The sequence below is a fragment of the Homo sapiens genome, chromosome 6 (genome assembly GCF_000001405.40).
Source record: "Homo sapiens chromosome 6, GRCh38.p14 Primary Assembly".
NCBI classification, from domain to species: Eukaryota; Metazoa; Chordata; class Mammalia; order Primates; family Hominidae; genus Homo; species Homo sapiens.
In genome coordinates, this window is record NC_000006.12 from 149513965 (window position 1) to 149535873 (window position 21909).

At 38.0% G+C, this 21909-nt stretch overlaps 1 protein-coding gene and 1 pseudogene across 1 annotated transcript in view; one reads left to right on the forward strand and one right to left on the reverse strand.

Moving 5' to 3' along the window:
- PPIL4 (peptidylprolyl isomerase like 4) overlaps positions 1-21909 on the reverse strand; it is a 41549-nt gene that overhangs the window by 9470 nt on the left and 10170 nt on the right. Inside the window, exons 5-11 of the mRNA NM_139126.4 lie at positions 21632-21774; positions 20714-20810; positions 19494-19610; positions 12688-12812; positions 11179-11245; positions 7096-7207; positions 3390-3486 (exon numbers count right to left, since the gene is read on the reverse strand). Coding sequence (NP_624311.1) covers positions 3390-3486; positions 7096-7207; positions 11179-11245; positions 12688-12812; positions 19494-19610; positions 20714-20810; positions 21632-21774 — 758 coding nt within the window. The remainder of the gene's footprint in view (positions 1-3389; positions 3487-7095; positions 7208-11178; positions 11246-12687; positions 12813-19493; positions 19611-20713; positions 20811-21631; positions 21775-21909) is intronic.
- On the forward strand, positions 2993-3052 carry RNU7-3P (RNA, U7 small nuclear 3 pseudogene; annotated as a pseudogene).

The window sequence follows — 21909 nt, forward strand, 5'->3', positions numbered from 1 at the left end:
ACAGGCAGAGCTATGCTAATTACATGTGGGACCACAGTAAACGCAGACACACTTCCCTCAGGACTAGAGGCTCGTGTCTGCTTCACAAAGCCACAACTCAACACTTTCCACAGGAATGTCTCACTTCTACATAAGATCAAATGAAAGACATTGTTCCTCCTAGCTTCCCATGAGATGGCTAAAGAGGGTTAGTCAGCTCGTACCATTCGGTTATGACTCCATTATCTCCAACTTCCCTCTTTTCACTATGCTACTCTGTTTCCGGGGCATCTTCTGGATCTTGCCTTTTCCAGATACACATTCCATAGCTCCCACCTATGATTTCATCCTAATGTGTGCTCTGCACATGCTGCTCCCTCTGTCCAAATTCTTCAGAGCACTCAGTCTTGCTCTGTTGCCCAGGCTGGAGTGCAGTGGCCTGATCTTGGCTCCCTGCAACCACCCCATCCAGGGTTCAAGCAATTCTCCTGCCTCAGCCTCCCAAGTAGCTGTGATTACAAGTGCACACCACCACACCCAGCTAATTTTCGTATTTTTAGTCGAGACAGGGTTTCGCCACGTTGGCCAGGCTGGTCTCAAACTCCTGACCTCAAATGATCCACCTGCCTCAGTCTCCCAAAGTGCTGGGATTACAGGCATGAGCCACTGCGCCTGGCTCAGAGCAATGTTTTTCAAACTGATGACTATAATCCATCAATGGGGTATAAAATCTATTTAGTGGGCCACAACAGCATTTAAAAAAAAAAACAGAAATACAGTATATGCCTAAAAAAATTTTATTTTATTAATCTTTTGGTTCAAGTGTGTGTGTGTGTGTGTGTGTGTGAATGTTTGTACTGTGACTGTATTGGGTTAAGACAAAAACTGTATTTTTTTTAATTTTTTTTTTGAGACGGAGTTTCACTCTTGTTGCCCAGGCTGGAGTACAATGGCGCGATCTTGGCTCACCACAACCTCTGCCTCCTGGGTTCAAGCAATTCTCCTGCCTCAGCCTCCCGAGTAGCTGGGATTACAGGCATCCGCCACCACGCCTGGCTAATTTTTTGTATTTTTAGTAGAGACGGAGTTTCTGCATGTTGGCCAGGCTGGTCTTGAACTCCCGACCTCGGGTGATCTGCCCGCCTCGGCCTCCCAGAGTGCTGGGATTATAGGCATGAGCCACTGCACCCAGCCAATTTTTTTTTTTTTTTTAAGAAAAAAAAAATGGAGACCGGGTCTCGCTATATTGCCCTGGCTGCTCTCAAACTTCTGGGCTCCAGCAATCCTCCCACCTCGGCCTCCCACACTGCTGGGATTACAGGCATGAGCCACTGCACCCAGCCTATTTCTTAAATGATGGATCATACGAAAGAAGACAGCACTCCCATGAGCCACTGCACCCAGCCTATTTCTTAAATGATGGATCATACGAAAGAAGACAGCACTCCACCTCAGCCCTCCTATCTCCCATATTAGTGTCACAGCTTTAATGCCACTTTTTTCAGTGTTGAGGGTATTCTCTAACCTCTCGCCCCCTATTATGAGTCCCATATCTCTTTGCAATATTTATTTGCAATAATTTAGACGTATTTAGAATGGTAATTATTTAATGTCTGGTTTTTTTTCCCCACTCCAACAGCAAAATGTAAGCTCTATGTGGGCAGGAACTGAATATCTTTCATTGCTAAACTGAGTATGTGACAGATGCTTACTAAGTATCTGTTGATTACTTGTCATACCCTCAAGACACTTGTTGTATCTCCTGCTTCCTCACTTACCCACTATCTTGTACTTATCACTAAAATCAACACTTTCAGAAGACATCAAATCCCTCTCCCTTTGAATAAAACACAAATTTGTGAGCTCACTGCCATCTTTTCTCCAATTTCTTCCCTGAGGTCTAGTTGGGCCAAGTTATTTCCTTCTCCTACTTCTATTTTTGATTCTTCTTATTAATAATCTATACTTTCACTAATTTCTCTTTCTCTTAAGGCCCATAAAGTAGATGCCACCATGCCTTCTTAACTGACTTAAGACAATTTATCTGCACATCAGACTATCCCCTAACAGCATTTCTCTCTTTTGCATCAACTTCAAAAGGCTAGAAGCTACACTATTCCATATAAGTATATGTGTGGTTGTTTCAATTAATTAAAATTAAAGAAAACTTAAAATTCCCCTTCTTCCAGCTATAGTTATTAGTAATAAGCCTAAATTTAATTTCAAAGATTTGGTAAATAAATATCAAATGTATTCCATTCATAACTTTTATGATTTTGAGCTTTCAATCATATGCCCTTGAATGTTGATCTTTTCTGACCAAATCTCAGCTTCTTATTTGGTCTGTCTGCATGTGAAAGCCTCTCCTTATGCTGATTTTATCAGCTTTCTTCAGACTTTATCCAGTTCTAACACCTCACAATGCTTTATACATTGCAGACAATCAACACATCTTAAAACATGAATATAGACCAGGTCAACCTGATATTCATCTTTCTTGATGAGTACTTGGAAAAGAAATGTCTACATATGTAGAAAAAAAAATCCCTGAAATACCAATAGAAACTAGGAAACAAAGACACCATTTACCAGAAAGAATCACAACAGAAATAACTCTTGCAATGTGTGGAGTGATATATTTATAATGGGAAAAATTAGTGAACCAATTTAAATGTCATAATATAAACAGTATGTTTCATTACTTTTTACATGTCTCAACCTAAAACTTGGAAGAACCTGAAGTAAATGGTCAAGTCAATGGATTTCTTTTTAATCCTACAAAAGTGAACTCTTGCACTCAGTAGAAGCCCAATAAATATTTGTTGTTGAAATTACAATATACTATACCGAAAGAAGTAACCTAACATTGTAACAGAGAACAATAGGATTTTGTTATCTAGGTAAGGAAGTTAAACATAACAGCAGGTAGCACAAAGGAATCAGCTTAGCAATAATAAATTTCAGATTATGAGGAATAGAAAACATTACAATTACATATAGAAAATACAAAGCTAGTGTTACAGCTCTTTTAGAATTTGTCTAGTAGGCTTTCCGGTTTTTGCAGGAAAGCCCCCCCAAAAAGAAAATACAAATCTTACCTGAAGATCTTCTGAGAATATGATAAGTAGGAAAGTACTTAACCTAGAGTAGGAAAGTATTAATAAAAGAATTAGGCTACAGATTTCTTTCAACCTTAACTTTCTCCATACACTAGAGTATAGTGAAAAAGCAAAGTATATGTAAGATCTTGAAAAGAGATAATGATAAACTAAGTTACTTCCTCACAAACAATCTGGATTCAGGAAATTTGTCTTCTATAGCTTTTGTGACTTTTCATAACACATCACACAGTACTCTACACATAGCAGATGGTCAATACATATTAACTAACTGATTCTTGGTAAGGATACTCCTGTTTGGGCTTTACTTTATCTTTCAGAACCAAATTAGGTGGTTTATCCTGTTCTTTTTCATACTCCTTGAAATCACTCTTGGTGTATTTCCCACCTATTTATTAAGAAAAGAAAAAAAGAGCTTAGTAAAAAAACCACCTAACCAAGAACAATAATTATTTTATAAAAAGCATAAGAGCTATTTTATAAATGGCATATATCGAGAGACAGAGAAAGGGAACAAAAGAATCATAGTAATTCCATCTCCATTACTAATTTGAAATCAGACATCCATTTTTGCTAGGTAGCCACATGCTGCCACCTAACGATATATGTGAATATTACAACATCAAACTTTCAAATAAATTACACACAAATGCCGTGTTCAAGTAGAGCCATTGAGCCCATGAGAACATTAAGTCCAGTGGAAAACTGAGGATTTGGGACCTGAGTTTAAGATCTGAAAGACCTAAGTTTGAGAGAAGTGAGACTTTAAGAGACCTTTTAAAGATCTAACGAGATAGTGTGTGCCTGTAATCCCATCTACTCGGGAGGCTGAGGCAGGAGGATCGCGTGAACCTGGGAGGCAGAGGTTGCAGTGAGCCGAGATCGTGCCACTGCACTCCAGCCTGAGCGACAGTGCGAAACTCCGTTTCAAAAAAAAAAGATTTAACAAGAGATACTCTGCTAAATGGCAACAGAGCATCAGGCAAATAGAAGAGGGCAGGATGTGCAGAAGATCACCAAACAGCTGTGAGAGGAGAGGGTGGGTAATAGCACCAAAGACAAACTGTCTCTACTTTGAAATTCTAACTTAGGGGCAACTTCATTCCTCCCAAGTGCCAAAAATCCCCTCAGGAAAATAGGACCTACTGCTACATCCTAACTAGCTTGGTAGGGCTAGAAAGGAAGAGCATTCAATGCAGCCTCTCTACTCTCAACTCTAGTCTCCTATCAGATGAGAATTCAATTTTCAAGTCTCCTACCAGATGAGAATTCAATTCGCATCCATGTCCCAGACCTGTTGACTGCCCTGCCTTTCCTATCCCTCAACCACACCACTAGGAAATGCTGTTTGTAGAAAGGCTTCCTACAGAAGGGTCCTAGATTAAATGTAGAAGTAAAACAAACTGGAGGTACAGACAGAGGTTTTGACTGAGAATCCTATGTGTACCTTGATTGTCAGGGTTTTAAAGGGGGACCCATAGGGTAAGCAAAAAAGACAAGATCAATCTATTTGGCAATTCCAGAGACTCCAGAAACAAAAGTGGCCAGCAATGTTTCCCATAAATGTGAAACAGTCTACTGCAAGAGTTAAAATAACTGGTAATGGTAACAAACAGCCATCATTTATCATTGAAAAATTATTTGCCATCTGCCTGCCATTAAAAGTCTCACTATGGATGAAGCAGTTACCGTATAACAGAAAGGGCACCAGATTAATGTAAGAGGTTCTTGACTGTAGTGGGAGGTCCTAGGTAAGACACCACTTCTCTGCAATTCATTATCTTTATTTACATTATCTTCATTTATAAACTGAAAATAATACCAACATTTCACAGAGTTGCTGGAATCATCAGACTATAAAGGAAAGTTCTTAGTGCTGTGAATGGCACATTATACACATTAAGTTTATAAATGTGAATCAATAACATATATAATTATCTCAAAATTAACTGAGAATAATAAACTGTATGTTTATGATGGCATATACAAAACCAAAGCTTCTCCCTCCTATGTGACATTTTATCTTAGGAAAAAACATGAAGAAATTTATTTAAAAGTCACAAGAAAGTAGTAGTATTTATTCAATGGGTGGATGGGTTGAGAAGAAGACAGGATTGAGAGGGTAAAAAACAAACCAAATGTAGGGTCTGTCTAAATCATCTGTGTATGTGACTCTAGGTAAATCACTTCTCAAGATTATGCCTCAAATTCCATATCTATAATGAGGAATTATAATATTTATTTCATACACTTCCCAAATGATACAATTAAACTAGCTCTTTGGAAGCAGAGCTCTACATAAGAGCCACCTGGCATTACTACTGGCCAGAACTACACTGCATCAGGCCAGCAGCTCACCAACACTTTGAATATACTTACTGGAATCTTTCATTCACAAAGTTGTAATTTTCATATGTGGAAAAAAATCTTAGTGCTTCAATTTAGGTTTCACAAATCACTCAAACAGCACTGTCAAAAACTAGCCATGTGTTCTAGGAGGAGGTAAGGTTTCACAGGAGAAACTAATAGTACATGGAACTCCAATCCAAGTCACCCTCTCCTTTATCACAGAGATCACAGCTTCCACTCAACATTCCTTGCCTACTTTAGTCACATTAATAATTTCTTCCTTCTCTGAACTCCCATAAGGTAACAGAATCCACCAAACAATTCAGCAATTCACAACTAAATAGTGTTTTTCTTTCTTACTAAAAACAGACAAAAAAAACAGTTCATTAAAAGCATGGGAAATAAGTGTTATAGAAAAAGAAAGTAACCCTGAAATTCCCAGTAAAATTTAGCATTACATGTGAGTAACTATCAAAGTGAAACCTGTTAAAAACACTGCATCAAAAACCAAAAACTCGTATTATTTCAACATATGAGAGACCCAACTTTTAAGACTGACATGCTACGAGCAATGTATTTGACATATATGTATGTGTATGTGGGAAATGTAATATGTACAAAGGTGGAACATACTGCTATGGACATGGAAGAGTAAAAATTTAGAAAACCCATTAACAGGGCTGGTTCATTTTATATACTGATATGAACTGATCTCTTAGATACACTGTTAATTAAAAAATGCAAGGTACAAAAACAGTATGTATAGCCTGCATCCTTTGTTTTATATTTTCCTTTTTAAAAGGAGAAAATCATATATATATATATGCACATATGTATTCAAAAAATGTAGGGGAAAGTTAGTACCAATAGGTGATAATGGTTACCCTGGAAGAGAAATTAGATAGATGAGGAGCAGGAATGAATGAGACTTTTATCTACCTTTCCATGGACCTTTTCTATTTTGCATCATATGACAACTAAAACAAACAAAAAAAATTTAAGTTGTGCACCTAAAAGACTCAAAACACCATAAAGTCAAAATAATTACTTTGGAAACATATCATGTCTGCAGTGGGTAATTATTAGTAATTTATAATATAGTCAAACATAGAAAATATAATTTTTCATCAGTTTAAAATACACGCACAGGTGCACACATGCATGTGTGTGCACACACACACACACACACACTCTACCTCAGATTCTAGATAGCAGGTTTGTAAAATTACAAATGGCAGGAGTTACATCAATTAATATTTCTCCTAATTAACAGCACTCAATAAAAGGCTCATACAAGCATGAAAAGCATAACAAAAACAAGGCCGGGCGCAGTGGCTCACGCCTGTAATCCCAGCACTTTGAGAGGCCAAGGCGGTGGATTACCTGAGGTCAGGAGTTCGAGACCAGCCTGGCCAACGTGGTGAAACCCCATCTCTACTAAAAATACAAAAATTAGCTGGGCATGGTGGCACATGCTTGTAATCCCAGCTGCTTGGGAGGCTGAGGCATGAGAATGGCTTGAACCTGGGAGACACAGGTTGCAGTGAACCAAGATCGTGCCACTGCACTCCAGCCTGGGCAACAGAGCGAGACTCCATCTCAAAAAAAAAAAAAAAGCAGAACAAAAACAAAAGATAAACCATCATACCTTTTCCTTTCCATTTAACCTTTGCAACCGACTGGCTAAAATCCACATGTATTCTTCTGTCATCTATAAGCACATTGTCCATTTTGAAGAATGCTTTCTCACAATCTTCTTCCTGATAATAATTATAAAAACTCAAGCATAAATCTTTATGGAAAAGATTTCTGTAGCTAGAATACTGAAAATACAAAAAGTTTGTTGTTACAAAAATTAATGTTTGAATACTTATTACACACCCGATGCTGTTAAATGCTTTGTATCTATTACCTCAAATACCTCTGGTAACAACCCCATGAGGTACTATCCATTTTCTTAATGAGAAAACAGAAGTTTAGAGAAGTATAGAAGTTGTTGGCAAGGGTCAGAGCCAGGATTTTAGAGAGACAGTCCAACTGCAGTGAACAGATAAATATACACTTACTGACTGTATTATACAGGTTCACAATCCTTTTTACTCAAAATTCAAAAACATCCTGGAAAGTGAAAGTTGTGTTCCTAAGTTTGTTGTTAAAATTAATTTGGCAGTAACACCAAACCTAATGGTAGGTTATGACCTTTTTTTATCCACTTAGTATGAATATTCATTTGTTTCACTGCAGAAATACTTTTGTGACAGATTATGGAATGCTGACCCAGAAAGGTATTACATAATCACAGATGTAATGTGTATGTGTGTATGCATATATACAGTATTACCTTTCTGAATTCTGAAAAATTCTGAATTAGGAAGCCTAGTTATTCTCAAGGGTTTTAGATAATGAACTGTGAGACTGTAATACCAAGCTCTGTGCTACACAAGAATCCTTCCTGTCAGTAACTTCACAATTCTAAATCCCTGTTTCTGACACTGACAGTTACATATTTCAACTCAGTACTGACCAATTTTCTTTTACATTCCTGGAAACTTATTCTTACTAGAGATAATCCAAAGAGAAGCAGATAAAATAGTTATAATCATATTTATTACATGTCAATAATTAAATGAATTATAAAATCCATGAAGATATAGACAAAGCTTGATTCGTCTTTGTAACTACATCATTTAGAACATCATATGGCATGGTATCTAAAACGTAGGCAATCAGTGTACGTTTCATGAATCTGACTGATTATTTTCAGGCAGGTATAATTCTATCACCATGCTATATCCCCAAAGAGAAAGCTCTGAAGATCACTTTTTCAGGAGGATAGTATTTGCAAATACTCAATTTACTTACACCTAAATAATAGTTAATAAATCTCTTCAAAATTGAGAAACTGATTCAAAAATAAATATTCAAAAGTCAAAAACAGCTATGACAATCTTCAAAAACAACAAAGTTGGAAGACTCACAGTTATCAAGACATTTATAAACCTATAGTGATTAACACAATGTAACAGTGGTATATGAATAGACAAATAGATCAGTGCAACAGTATAGCGTCTAGAAACAGACTCTATACATATATGGATACCGATTTATAACAAAAGTGGTACTACAGAGCTGTGGGGCAGGACAACTTTTTTTATTATTTTTTTCATCAGTAGAGACCTCAGAGAAAAAGGACAACTTTTTATTTATGTATTATTTTTTTGAGACGGAGTCTTGCTCTGTCGCCAGGTTGGAGTGCAGTGGTGCGATGCTGGCTCACTGCAACCTCTGCCTCCCGAGTTCAAGCAATTCTCCTGCCTCAGTCTCCCGAGTAGTTGGGACTACAGGCACGCACCACCATGCCCAGCTAATTTTTGTATTTTTACTAGAGACGGGGTTTCACCATGTTGGCCAGGATGGTCTCGATCTCTTGACCTCGTGATCCACCCACCTCGGCCTCCCAAAGTGCTGGGATTACAGGCGTGAGCCACCACGCCTGGCCAGGACAACCTTTTAAATAAATGGTGCTGTCACGTGGCAATCCAATGTATGAAAAACGAAACAATGTAATACAATACACCAAAAGCAAATTACAGAATTGAATGGGAAACAATTTCACAACAAAGCTTCTAAAAATAATACAGGAGAATATCCTCATGTCTTTGAAGTAGGAAAATATTTTTTAAATAGGCCACTAAAAAGGAAGAAAAATACTGACAACCTGAACCATTAAAATTAGAAATTTGTTTATAAAAAGACACCATTAAGAAAGGAAAAAGGCATGCCTGTGGTCCCAGTTATGCAGGAGCTAAAATTGGAGAATCACTTGAGCCCATGAGCTCAAGTCCAGCCTGGGCAACACAGAGTGATCCTGTCCCTTAAAAAACAAAAAAAAAGTAAAAGGAAATCCACAGAGAAGATATCTGTATCACACATAATCAAAAAAGAGCTTGCATCCAGAAAATATAAAGAATCCTTAGAGATCAATAAAAAAGTAAAACAGCAGGTGCAGTGGCTCAAGCCTATAATTCCAGCACTTTGGGAGGCCAAGGCAGGTGGATCACTTAAGGTCAAGAGTTCAAGACCAGCCTGGCCAACATCATAAAACCCTGTATCTACTAAAAATTCAAAAATGAGCCAGGTGTGGTGGCAAGCACCTGTAATCCCAGCTACTTGGGATGCTGAGGCATGAGAATCGCTTGAAACTGGGAGGCGGAGGTTGCAGTGAGCTGAGATCATGCGACTACACTCCAGCCTGGGTGACAAAGCAAAACTCTGTTTCAAAAAAATAAAAAGAAAAAAAAAAAAGAAGAAAATGGCATAGCTGCAAAAAACTCAAAACATGGGCAGTCATTAGTCTATGTGCTACAAATGAAATTTTATTTGTGAGAAAATAAATAATAGATTCTATAGTGTCAATGATAGAATGCTAGTGCAGGTCTACAAGTTTTCACAGCAAACCAAAGGTAAAGGTCTTTCTGCTGGCACCAATGTACCTTGTAAGTATCATTTCTGGTACATCTGACACAGTGCCTACATATAACTTTATGGTCTATCTTCCCCAACCCTCCATGATTCATCTTGTATCCCTAGGCCTTATTGCTGTGTCTGAAAACATAAAAGGTATTCCATAAATGCTTTGTAATAATTAGAACTTAGAATGAGCTACTACTGGATACATATGAGTCCAAAGTTGCATTAAAAAAGAGCATACCATAGCACAGTGTAAACTCAATGGGAACAGAATCAGACATATCTGAGTTCAAATCCCAGCTATGACATTCATTCACTAGGTGTGTGATTTTGAACAAGTCACATTAGCATTATGTGTCTCAGTTAACTTATTTGGAAAAGGGGATGGTCCCTATCTTACAGAACTGTGAGGATTAAATGCAGCAAAAGTAACATAATGCCTAGCTTAAAGTAAATATTTAAGCAACATAAGCTATCATTATTACAGCTCTAGAAGGGGCCATCTATTCTAATACCCAAGTTTTATTTATAAGAAGGTAAGACCTAGAAAGAACGGTTAACTAAACTGCCAAGTATCATACAATAGCTGGCTAATAACAAAAGATGTATTAATATCTAAATCTTAACACCCAGTTCAGTTCTCTTTCTATTACTCAACTTTATCTCCACTTAAGTAACAGGGAAAAATTAAGAGTCTCTGAAGGGCTTTACTTAGAACTTAAAAAGTTCTAAGATTGGCTGAGTGTTGTGGCTTATGCCTATAATCCCAGCACTTTGGGAGGCCGAGGCAGGTGGATTGCTTGAGGTCAGGAGTTCAAGACCAGCCTGGCCAATATGGTGAAACCCTGTCTCTACTAAAAATACAAAAAAATTAGCAGGGCATGGTGGTGGGCACCTGTAATCCCAGCTACTGGGGAGGCTGAGGCAAGAGAATCGCTTGAACCAGGAGGCGGAGGCTGCAGTGAGTCGAGACTGCGCCACTGCACTCCAGCCTGGGCAACAGAGTGAGACCCTGTCTCAAAAAAAAAAAAAGTTCTAAAGATACTTTCATGCAGATTGCACCTGAACCTAAAGTAAAAGTACGTATGTTAACATCAACAGATGTTGAACTTATCCCCTATATAGATACAATAAACTTAATTTTGGGGAGTGCCAAAAGAAAGGGCAACTCTAGAAACTAGAAAAAGTTCTATAATTTTTCACATTTTAATACCATATAAAAGCAAATAAATACCAAACTTATGTCTGTATTATGACATACCTTTTCAAATTCAATAAAAGCGTAACAGAGGGACTCTCCTGTCTTCCAGTCTCGGATAACTTCACAACTGAAAGAAAGTATTTAAAAGTGACTTAAAAAAAAAAAAAAGGAAGAAAGCATTCACTCTCACTCTTCAAAACTGAAGAAGAAATAAGTCAGTTACTACAAGGCAAAGTTAAATTCATAGATTATTTTTCCAAATTCATTTAATAACAATTCTTTTTTAAAAGTAGTTCACCAGAGCAGTAACTAAATTATCTAAATTCTACTCTAAGTGCCTTATATAGGCCTACAGTCCTAAATTCCCTTAAGCACTGAAGTAAGAATAAAAATATTTAATTTTCCTTTGGCAAAAGTAAACTACTGCTAAAGACTTTTAAAATCACAACACTTTTCTAGTCCAAATATAGTCGAATTATAGAATATCTAACATCTAACATTACTGTAGAATAATGTATGCATACTCATACATATATAAATGTTTAAGTTCAAGCTTTGAAATTTTTGAATTTTAATATAAATCAAGCTCAAATTTAACACTGTAAGCACAATGTTAATTACAGAACTAATATACCATAATAACCAAGTGAAAAGGCCAATAAGCTGAAGTTGAAAGCACCTGGCTTGTCCCTTGCCCCAAGTGTCATAAGTCTCATTTTAAAAACCTCATTTTAAAAGCCGGGCGCAGTGGCTCATACCTATAACCCCAGCCCTTTGGGAGGCCAAGACGGACGGATCACAAGGTCAGGAGCTCGAGACCAGCTTGGCCAATATGGTGAAACCCCGTCTCTACTAAAAATACAAAAATTAGCTGGGCGTGTTGGCGCATGCCTGTAGTCCCAGCTACTCAGGAGGCTGAGGCAGAAGAATCACTTGAACCCGGGAGGCAGAGGTTGCAGTGAGCCGAGATCACATCACTGCACTCCAGCCTGGGCAACAGAGCGAGACTCCATGTCAAAAAAATAAACAAAAATAAATAAAATAAAATAAAATCCCTGAAACAAAAGGAAACCCTAAATATAATACTTTTTAATCAATTACAAAATAGTCCCCTTCCTCACAGAAATACTAGCTTCATAGACTTTTTCATTAATGCAGGGAAAACTAACCAAAAGAAAAATTTTAGAAAATTTAGTTTTAAATTAATTTTGACATAAATTGCTGGTAATTCCAGGAGTTGAATGAGATAAATATTTTAAATATTAAAGAAGGCTGTTGAGAGTATTACAGAACTAGATTTAAATTGTTCCATTCATTTCCTGTTTTAGGGTGAAAATGTGTTGAGAGTGGGAGATTCAATTATTTATCTGTGTGTGTGTGTGCACGTATGTATGTATGTCTACACACACATATATACTTTTCTTCCCTACTGTCCAAAGACTCACCTGTAAAAATTCACCAGTACAAAATTCGCCTAGAATTCACAGAATCATCAAAATATGTCATTAGAAAACCACCAACTGATACCTAGTTTTTCTAAATATCTCTTTCACTAATTCTAAGGATTACCTTCTTATTGGCCCAAATCTAGAGAATATTATTTCCAGATCCTCATCTGTGGTCACTGGGTTCAATTTACACACAAACAGTACATTTTCTGGAGGTTTAATATCTGCATCAGGTAGGTCTCCCACCTAAATTACAAACAAACAAAAACATAAATCAATTCCTATTTAGTTTCCATTCTAAATCCTATCCAATCCCACAATGCTGATTTCCTTAAAACATCTAAATTTATGTTACAAACTGCAGGCTCTGGAAAAGAAATCCAAATAAGATTTCAAAATTTGAACTACACTGTTCCTATTCTTAACAGTGTTAATAGCTAATATTTAAATAACTCATACTTTGTGTGAACAGTGCTTGGAGCTTCAGATCTATTACGCTAATTCTTGAAACAATCCTGCAATCTCCATTTTAAAGACAAGTAAAGCGGCTGAGCATGGTAGCTCATGCCTGTAATCCCAGCACTTTGGGAGGCCAAGGGGGGCAGATACTTGAGGTCAGGAGTTCAAGATCAGCCTGGCCAACATGGTGAAACCCCATTTCTACTAAAAATACAAAAATTAAACGGGCATGGTGGTGTGCACCTGTAGTCCTAACTACTCGGGACACTGAGGCAGTAGAATCGCTTGAACCCAGGAGGCGGAGGTTGCAGTGAGCTACGCCACTTCACCCCAGCCTGGGCGACAGAGCAAGACTCCATCTCATAAATAAACAAATAAAATAAAGACAAGTAAAGTGAAATTTAAAAGGTTAAACAAGTAACTTGCCCAAGACCACACAGTGGTAAACAACAGAGCTGGGATTTGAACCTACATTTATCTGGCTTCAAAGACCAATTTTACCCCTACTTCATCTTTTTTCAAGTATTTGATATATTTTTTAAAGGATAAGAATTTATGTAAAGTACATGTAAGTCATAAAGCATAAAAATAAAAACCACTATGATGCTACCATCTAGCTTAAGAACTAAAATGTCACCTATCCCATTCTCCCTGTGCCTCCTCATCAGAGACAACAAATACCCTGCTTTTTGGTTTTCCTTTTTCAGTCATTTCCTTGCATATCATCAGAGTTTTACCATATATGTATGCAACTCTATCACATTTAGATGGGGCAACAACATCCCTTTATACATACATTCAAACACTCTTTCAGAGATTATTTCTGATAAGATCACCTGTAAAGTGTCTCCTCTTGGATAAACATGCCCTTCCCCCCAAAATCTTGAAAATAAAAAACAGTAAGAAGCAACACAGCCAGTAAGATCTCCTCAGTGTTTCTGAAGTCTATCAAAAGACAACATTATGTCCAATAAGAAGTATCACAGCCAGGCATGATAGCTCACACCTGTAATCCCAACACTTTGGGAGGCTGAGGAAGGAGGATCTCTTGAAGCCAGGAGTTTGAGACCAGCCCACGCAACATAGTAAGACCTTGTCTCTATAGTAAATTTAAAAATTAGCCAGGCATGGCAGTGTGAGTAGTCCTAGCTATTCAGAAGGTTGGATGGACTGCTTGGGTTCCAGAGTTTTTGAGGCAGCAGTGAGCTATGATCACACCACTGCACTCCAGCCTAGAAAACAGAGTAAGACCCTGCCTCTAAAAAACAAAAAAGAGTGTCAAAACACAGAAGGAGTAGAGCAAATTAGTAAAAATCCTCCAAAGCACCTATAATGGCAGAAAGGAAGCACAAACGAGAAAAAAAGTTAATGAGTCAAAAAAGAACTTGCTATAGTACTTGGTCAAAGCTAACTTTAAAATACTATTAGGAAATTTAAAACATTCATAAAAGCTATGAGGTTCAAAACTAATTTTACAAAACACTAGCTGAATTATCACTATATTACAAACAAATGCAATAAAGTAAGAGAAACAGATATTCTTAGAAAACAGAACATGGAATATGTTAATAAAATCAAAAGGACACAGGATCACCTTTTAGAGTGACTAAAATCCAAAAAATACCATCAGCAAATGCTGGCAAGGATGTGAGGCAAAAGAAACCCTCATTCATTGCTGGTAGGAATGTAAAATGTAAAGCCACTTTAGAAGACAGTTTGGCAGTTTCTTACAAAGCTAAACCATTCAATCCAGCATCTGAACTCCTAGGTATTTACCCAAATGCATAGAAACTTTATGCCTACACAAAAATCTGCATGCAAATGTTTACAGCAGCTTTAATCACAACTGCCAAAACTTGGAAGCAACCAAGGTATCTTTCAACAGGTAAAAAATATACAAGCTGTGATACATCCATACAATGAAACATTACTTAGCAATTAAAAGAAATGAGCTATCAGCCATGCATGGTGGCTCACGCCTGTAATCCCAACACTTTGGGAGGCCAAGACAGGAAGATCACTTGAACCTGGGAGTTTGGGATCAGCCTGAGCAACATGGGTAAGACTCCATCTCTACAAAAAAATTTAAAAATTACCAAGGTGTGGTGGCGTGTGCCTATAGTCCCAGCTACTCAAGAGGCTGAGGCAGGAAGACTGCTCAACCTCAGTTCAAGGTTATAGTGAGCTATGACAGCACCACTGCACTCCAGCCTGAGTGAAAGAGTGAGACTTTCTCTAAAAAAAAAAAACAAAAAAAAGAAAGAAATGAAATCCCAGGCCGGGCAACATAGTGAGACTCTGTCTCTACAAAAAATAAAATTAGCCGGGCATGGTGGCACACGCCTGTGGTCCCAGCTACTTGTGAGGCTGAGGTAGGAGGATTACTTGAGCCCTGGAGGTCGGGGTGCAGTGAGCCATTATTGTGCCACTGTCCATGCAACAGAGCGAGAACCTGTCTCAAATAAAAAAAAATTAAAAAAAATTAAAAAAAGGGCCGGGCAGGGTGACTCATGCTGTAATCCCAGCACTTTGGGAGGCTGAGGCGCGCAGATCACGAGGTCAAGAGATCAAGACCATCCTGGCTAACACGGTGAAACCTCGTCTCTACTAAAAATACAAAATAATTAGCCGGGCGCGGTGGCACGTGCCTGTAGTCCCAGCTACTCAGGAGGCTGAGGCAGGAGAATCTCTTGAACCTGGGAGGCAGAGGTTGCAGTGAGCCGAGATAATGCCACTGTACTCTAGCCTGACGACAAGAGCGAGACTCCGTCTCAAAAAAAAAAAAAAAAGGAGGGAAAGAAAAGAAAGAAAAAGAAAAAGGGAAAGGAGAAAGGGAAAGGGAAGAAAGAAAAAAGGCACAGTGGAACCTTAAATGTATATTGCTAAGTGAAAGAAGACAGTCTGAAAAGGCTACATACGCTATAATTCCAACTATATGACATTTTGAAAATGCCAAAACTATATAGACAGTAAAAACATCAGTAGTTGCCAAGAAGTGGGTGTTGGGGGTGGGGATGAACAGGTGGAGCCCAGGGGATTTTTTAGACAGTGAAACTACCTTGAATGATCCTGTAAGGGTAGATATATGCTATCGTACATTTGTCAGTTCCACCGAATGTACAACACAAAGCTTGAATTCTAACGTAAATCATGGATTTTAATTAATAATGTATCAATATTGGCTCATCAATTGTTAACAAATGTGTCACAATAATGCAAGACTGGGGGAAAGAGGGAGGGAGTACTTAGAAACTCTCTGTACTTTATGTTCAGTTTTTCTGTAATTCTAAAATTGCTCTACAAATTGTCTATTAAAAACAAAGCCAAAAAAAGAATCCATGAGACACGGATAATGAACGGATAGATAAGCAGTTAAGAAGGGAGGGCTCAGGCGGGCACAGTGGCTCACACCTGTAATCCCAGCACTTTGGGAGGCCGAGGCAGGCAGATCACCAGGTCAGGAGTTTGAGACAAGCCTGACCAACATGGTGAAACCCTGTCTCTACTAAAAATACAAAAATTAGCTGGGCGTGGTGGCGGGCACCTATAATCCCTGCTACCCAGGAGGCTGAGGCAGGAGAATCGCTTAAACCTGGGAGGCAGAGGTTGCAGTGAGCCAAGATTGCGCCATTGCTCTCCAGCCTGGGTGACAGAGCGAGACTCCATCTCGGAAAAAAAAAAAGAAGGGAGGGCTCTTCCTTACAGTAGAATGCAGGTTGGTAATTGTGGAAAAAGTGGTGGGGGTGGGAAATTACCACTTTGCATAATTACCACTTTGCACTTAGCAGAGTCAAAACTGGTGCAGTCAGGAATCATGAATGGCTGAGAAATTTATGGGGGAAATTTGACAAGGAACAAGACATTTGAAAGATCTCCAAGTGTCTAGCCACAGATTGTCTATTGGAGACACCAGGCAGTGGACTACCATGACCAAGTGACCAAAATTACTCATCTTCCAATGAATATCGTACACCTCCAGATGTGACCTCTGAGGACACAACATCACTCACGTACTATTTCGGCTGTGGGTGCATAACCTGAATCTAATCATGAGGAAAGAGTAGATAAACCTAAATTGAAAAATATTCTATTGGCCGGGCACGGTGGCTCATGCCTGTAATCCCAGCACTTTGGGAGGCCAAGGCAGGAGGATCGCCTGAGGTCGGGAGTTGGAGACCAGCCTGGGCAACACAGTGAAACCCTGTCTCTACTACAATTACAAAAAATTAGCTGGATGTGGTGGCAGGCGCCTGTAATCCCAGCTACTCGGGAGCCTGAGGCAGAAGAATCGCTTGAACCCGGGAGGCAGAGGTTGCAGTGAGCCAAGATCGTGCCATTGCACTCCAGCCTGATAACAGAGCGAGATTCTGTCTCAAAAAAAAAAAAAAAAAAAAAATTAGCCAGGCGTGGGTGGCAGGCACCTATAATCCCAGCTATTTGGGAAGCTGAGGCAGCTGAATCGCTTGAACCTGGGAGGTGGAGGTTGCAGTGAGCCGAGATCATGCCATTGCACTTCAACCTGGGCAACAGAAACTCCGTCTCAAAAAAAAAAAAAGGAAAATATTCTACAAAATAAATGCAACAGATGATAAGTCACGAGCTGGATTCTAGTCTGGAGGAGGAAACAATTATAAAAGATATTATTAGAACAACTGGCAAAATTGGAATATAAACTGTAATTTCTTTTTTCTTTTTTTTGAGACGGAGTCTCGCCCTGTTGCCCAGGCCGGAGTGCAATGGCGCGATCTCGGCTCACAGCAACTTTCGCCTGCTGGGTTCAAGCGATTCTCCTGCCTCAGCCTCCTGAGTATCTAGGATTACAGCCGCATGCCTCTATACCCAGCTAATTTTTGTATTTTTAGTAGAGACGGAGTTTCACCATGTTGGCCAGGCTGGTCTCGAACTCCTGACCTCGTGATCCACCCGCCTCGGCCTCCCAAAGTGCTGGGATTACAGGCGTGAGCCACTGTGCCCGGCCCTATAAACTGTAATTTCTGTCACTTCTAAATTTTCTGATTTTGGTAACTACACTGTGAATACGTACATATTGTTATACACATTGAATACTGCTGCTCTTAGGAAATACACACTGATTAAGAGGTAAAGGGAAATAACAGGCAACTTACTGTCAAATAGTCGAGAAAAAAAATGTGTGTTTATGTGCTTGTATAATCAGAGAGAGAGAAAAAGAGAGAATCATAAAACAGATGTAGCAAAATGTTAAAAATTGGTGAATGTGGGTAAAAGGTATATAGAAGTTCTATGTACTTTTTCCCATAAATTTGAAATTATCTGAAAACAAAAAGTTTTAAAAAGTATGTTAATCTATTTTCTTCTGGCATAAACTTCCAAAGTGTTGCTGTGGAAAAGTCTGATAACAATCTAAATTCATTCCCTTATAAGTAACTTATTCTTTCTGCCCAATTGTTCAACATATCTTTCAAGTGTAGTAATTCTCTTAGAATTTGTCTTGGTGTTGGGTGTTCAGAGTCAATACTCTGAGATACACAGTGTGCTCATTAAAATGTGTATTTTCAATTAATTTTTTTAATTTCAGTAAAGCTTTCTTGAACTATACAGCCTTTACTATTTGTTCATTCAGACAGTTGATGGTAATATAAACTTAAGCCTGGCCAACATAGGGAGATCCTGTCTCTACAAAAAAAATTTTAAAATTAGCAGGGCATTGTGGTGTGTGACTGTGGTCTCAGCAACTCAGGAGGCTGAGGCAAGGGCATTGCTTAAGCTGAGGAGTTGGAAGCTGCAGCAAGCTATGATCATACACCACTGTACTCCAGCCTGAACAACAGAGTGAGACCCTGTCTCTATAAAATAATAAATAAATAAACTTTAAAACAGACTACAAATCTGAAAGTTCTATTATATAAAATAGTAACTTTATTATCCATTCATTCCAATATTTATTATCTATGATATGACAGGTATGCCTATTCTACAAAAATAAGAAATGGAAAATAATACCAAGTAGGTCAATTAATCATCTACTGAATTATTATTCCCCAAATGACTTCAGGTTGTTAGTAATACAGAGAAGCAGTATATTTTAGAGTGCTCAGTTTCCACCCATTATTTTGCCCTACAACTACCATTCTGTTTAATCTTAACACTTGAGTGGTACAGTGAAGAACTATTCTTTAATATACATAAAATTCAGCCTGCTAAACACTCTTTAAGAATGAGATGAATATTAAACAACTGAAATTCAATTAATAAGTTAGAGATCCACTTCCCACTGTTTAAAAAGGCACTTAGCACTATATTGACAGTAGAGTCAAATTTATTTTCACAGTAGAGCCAATTTATTACTATGCCATACCAAATTTAAATCAGAAAAAAATCATAACTCAATTTTTAACATTTTAAGACTACTGAAGAGCCAGAAATAAACACTCAGTAAGTATTATTAGATATATTACAGAACAATTTGAACAAAGATAATTATCTTACCATCTCCAAAAGTATAGCCTGAGTTTTAGCCTCTTTTTCTGCCTTTATTTCTTCTACTTCCTCAGCTGATCTTCCTTTGAAATCATCAATTTCTTCATCTGCTCCTATTCGACCACTCTGTTAAGACAGAAGTTACTCATGTATATATTTAAAGAATAAAAAAATCTGAGAAACATAGAAGACATACTTTATTCTTAGTTATATCAAACATGCTAAAACAGTAACTGATCAAGGTTGCAGTGAGCTACAATCACACCACTGCACTCCAGCTGGGTGACACAGTGAGATCTTGTCTCTAAAAAAAAATTTTTAATAATTAATTGGACAGCAACTGAGACAAACTTATAAACCTCCAAGAATTGATTTATATTAATTCTAAAATATTAGCCAAAGTGGGCTTCTGTTAAAATCAAAATAGGCCAGGCATGGTGGCTCGTGCCTGTAATCCCAGCACTTTGGGAGAACACGCAGGTGGATCACTTGAGGTCAGGAGTTCGAGACCAGCCTGGCCAACACAGTGAAACCCTGTCTCTACTAAAAATACAAAAATTAGCTGGGCGTGGTGGCATGCACCTACAATCCCAGCAACTCAAGAGGCTGAGGCACGAGAATTGCTTGAATGAGGAAGGCAGAGGCCACAATGAGCCGAGATCCCACCACGCACTCCAGCCTAGGCAACAAAGTGAGACTCCATCTCAAAAAAATAAATAAATATTTATATGGACACTATTTATTATCCAATTCTAACTGCTGAATGAAGAGAAATGATCTGACAATTAAGCACCAATCCCAACCATAAAGACAAATTCAGCTTTCAGGAAGCCACATAAACCTTAAAATATGTGGGGGAACAGTCTGCGCTGTTTCACAGAAATTTCTGGGTTCTAGCCTGGCTCCAGAGTGTCCCCAGTTGAAAAGTTACCTCACAAGATAACAGTTTAATTTGATGACAAGAAAAACACTTTCCCAAGGTGTTCATGTAAGCTTCTAGAGCTGAGGTTGTCTCAGTAGAAAAGAAACTGAAGAAAGGAAATTAGAGAAATGAGAAGACAGCTAGAAAAATGAGTACCTCTGTGGAAAAGAAAAAGAACTCCAAACTTGTTGAATATAATTAAGCAAGATAATAATTCGGAAAAAATTAACTTTAACAGATGAAAAAGATAAATCCATACAAATCATTAATATGAATGTACATTTAATCATAAGAGGGCTTTACTTACATCTAATTGTTCCCTTGTAGGTTCTGGTGATCGATCAGGGATTAATAAATCAGGAGGGTCATCAAATGGATCATCTAAAATCACCGTATGATTTATCCTTACAAAATAAATCCAAATCAAATGTTATACATTGAAGTTATTTCAGAATCCTATTTTATTTTAATAGATTACAAAAAATTACTTGATTATCTCTAAGGCCAAAAAAAACCCATATTGCATATGGATATTACTAACCTAGATATACTTTCACAATGAGTGTTACTGTTTTGCATTGAGTGATACCATATTTATCACCCTGCATTACTTTAAGATGTAAACTAATATAACTGTCTAAATCTTAGTACTTTTGCCCTACTTCTCAATTAAAAAACTAAATTAAAGCATTAACAATTCCTCCAGCTGGGTGCAGTGGCTCATTCCTGTAATCCCAACACTTCAGGAGGCTGAGGTGGGTGGATCATGAGGTCAGGAGATCGTGACCATCCTGGCTAACATGGTGAAACCCCGTCTCTACTAAAAATACAAAAAATTAGCCAGGTGTGGTGGCGGGCGCCTGTAGTCCTAGCTACTTGGGAGGCTAAGGCAGGAGAATGGTGTGAACCCGGGAGACAGAGCTTGCAGTGAGCCAAGATCGCGCCACTGCACTCCAGCCTGGGCAACAGCATGAGACTCCGTCTCAAAAAATAAATAAATAAATAATTCCTCCAAACATAATTATAAATAATTAGTACAAGTATAAAAATACAAAAAGTCCTTTTTATTATAAAGATTCTTACAGTCTTATATTAATTCACCTTTTGGGATTAGAATTATCCAGAAACCAGTCCTATGCATACCGTTCCTATCCATACCACTACGTGTTAAACATCTCAATATTAAAACATTCTAGTACATTCAGATAGCAAATTGTAACCATACCTGATATCCTGATATGGTACAAAGTCCTTGTCAACAAAGGTCTCATTAATTTTCTTAATTATGTCCATGCCTTCTGTCACCTCACCAAACACCGTATGGACACCATCAAGATAATCTAGATTTTCTCCTGTGGTGATAAGAAACTATAAAGAAGGACACATAATAAATACCATAAAAATAATACATAACTCAAACTGAAATCAGTTACAGACTGACAAAAAAATACATGAAAGTTAAGAGTCCACATTTACTGCACCAATTCTTAGACACTTGTTACC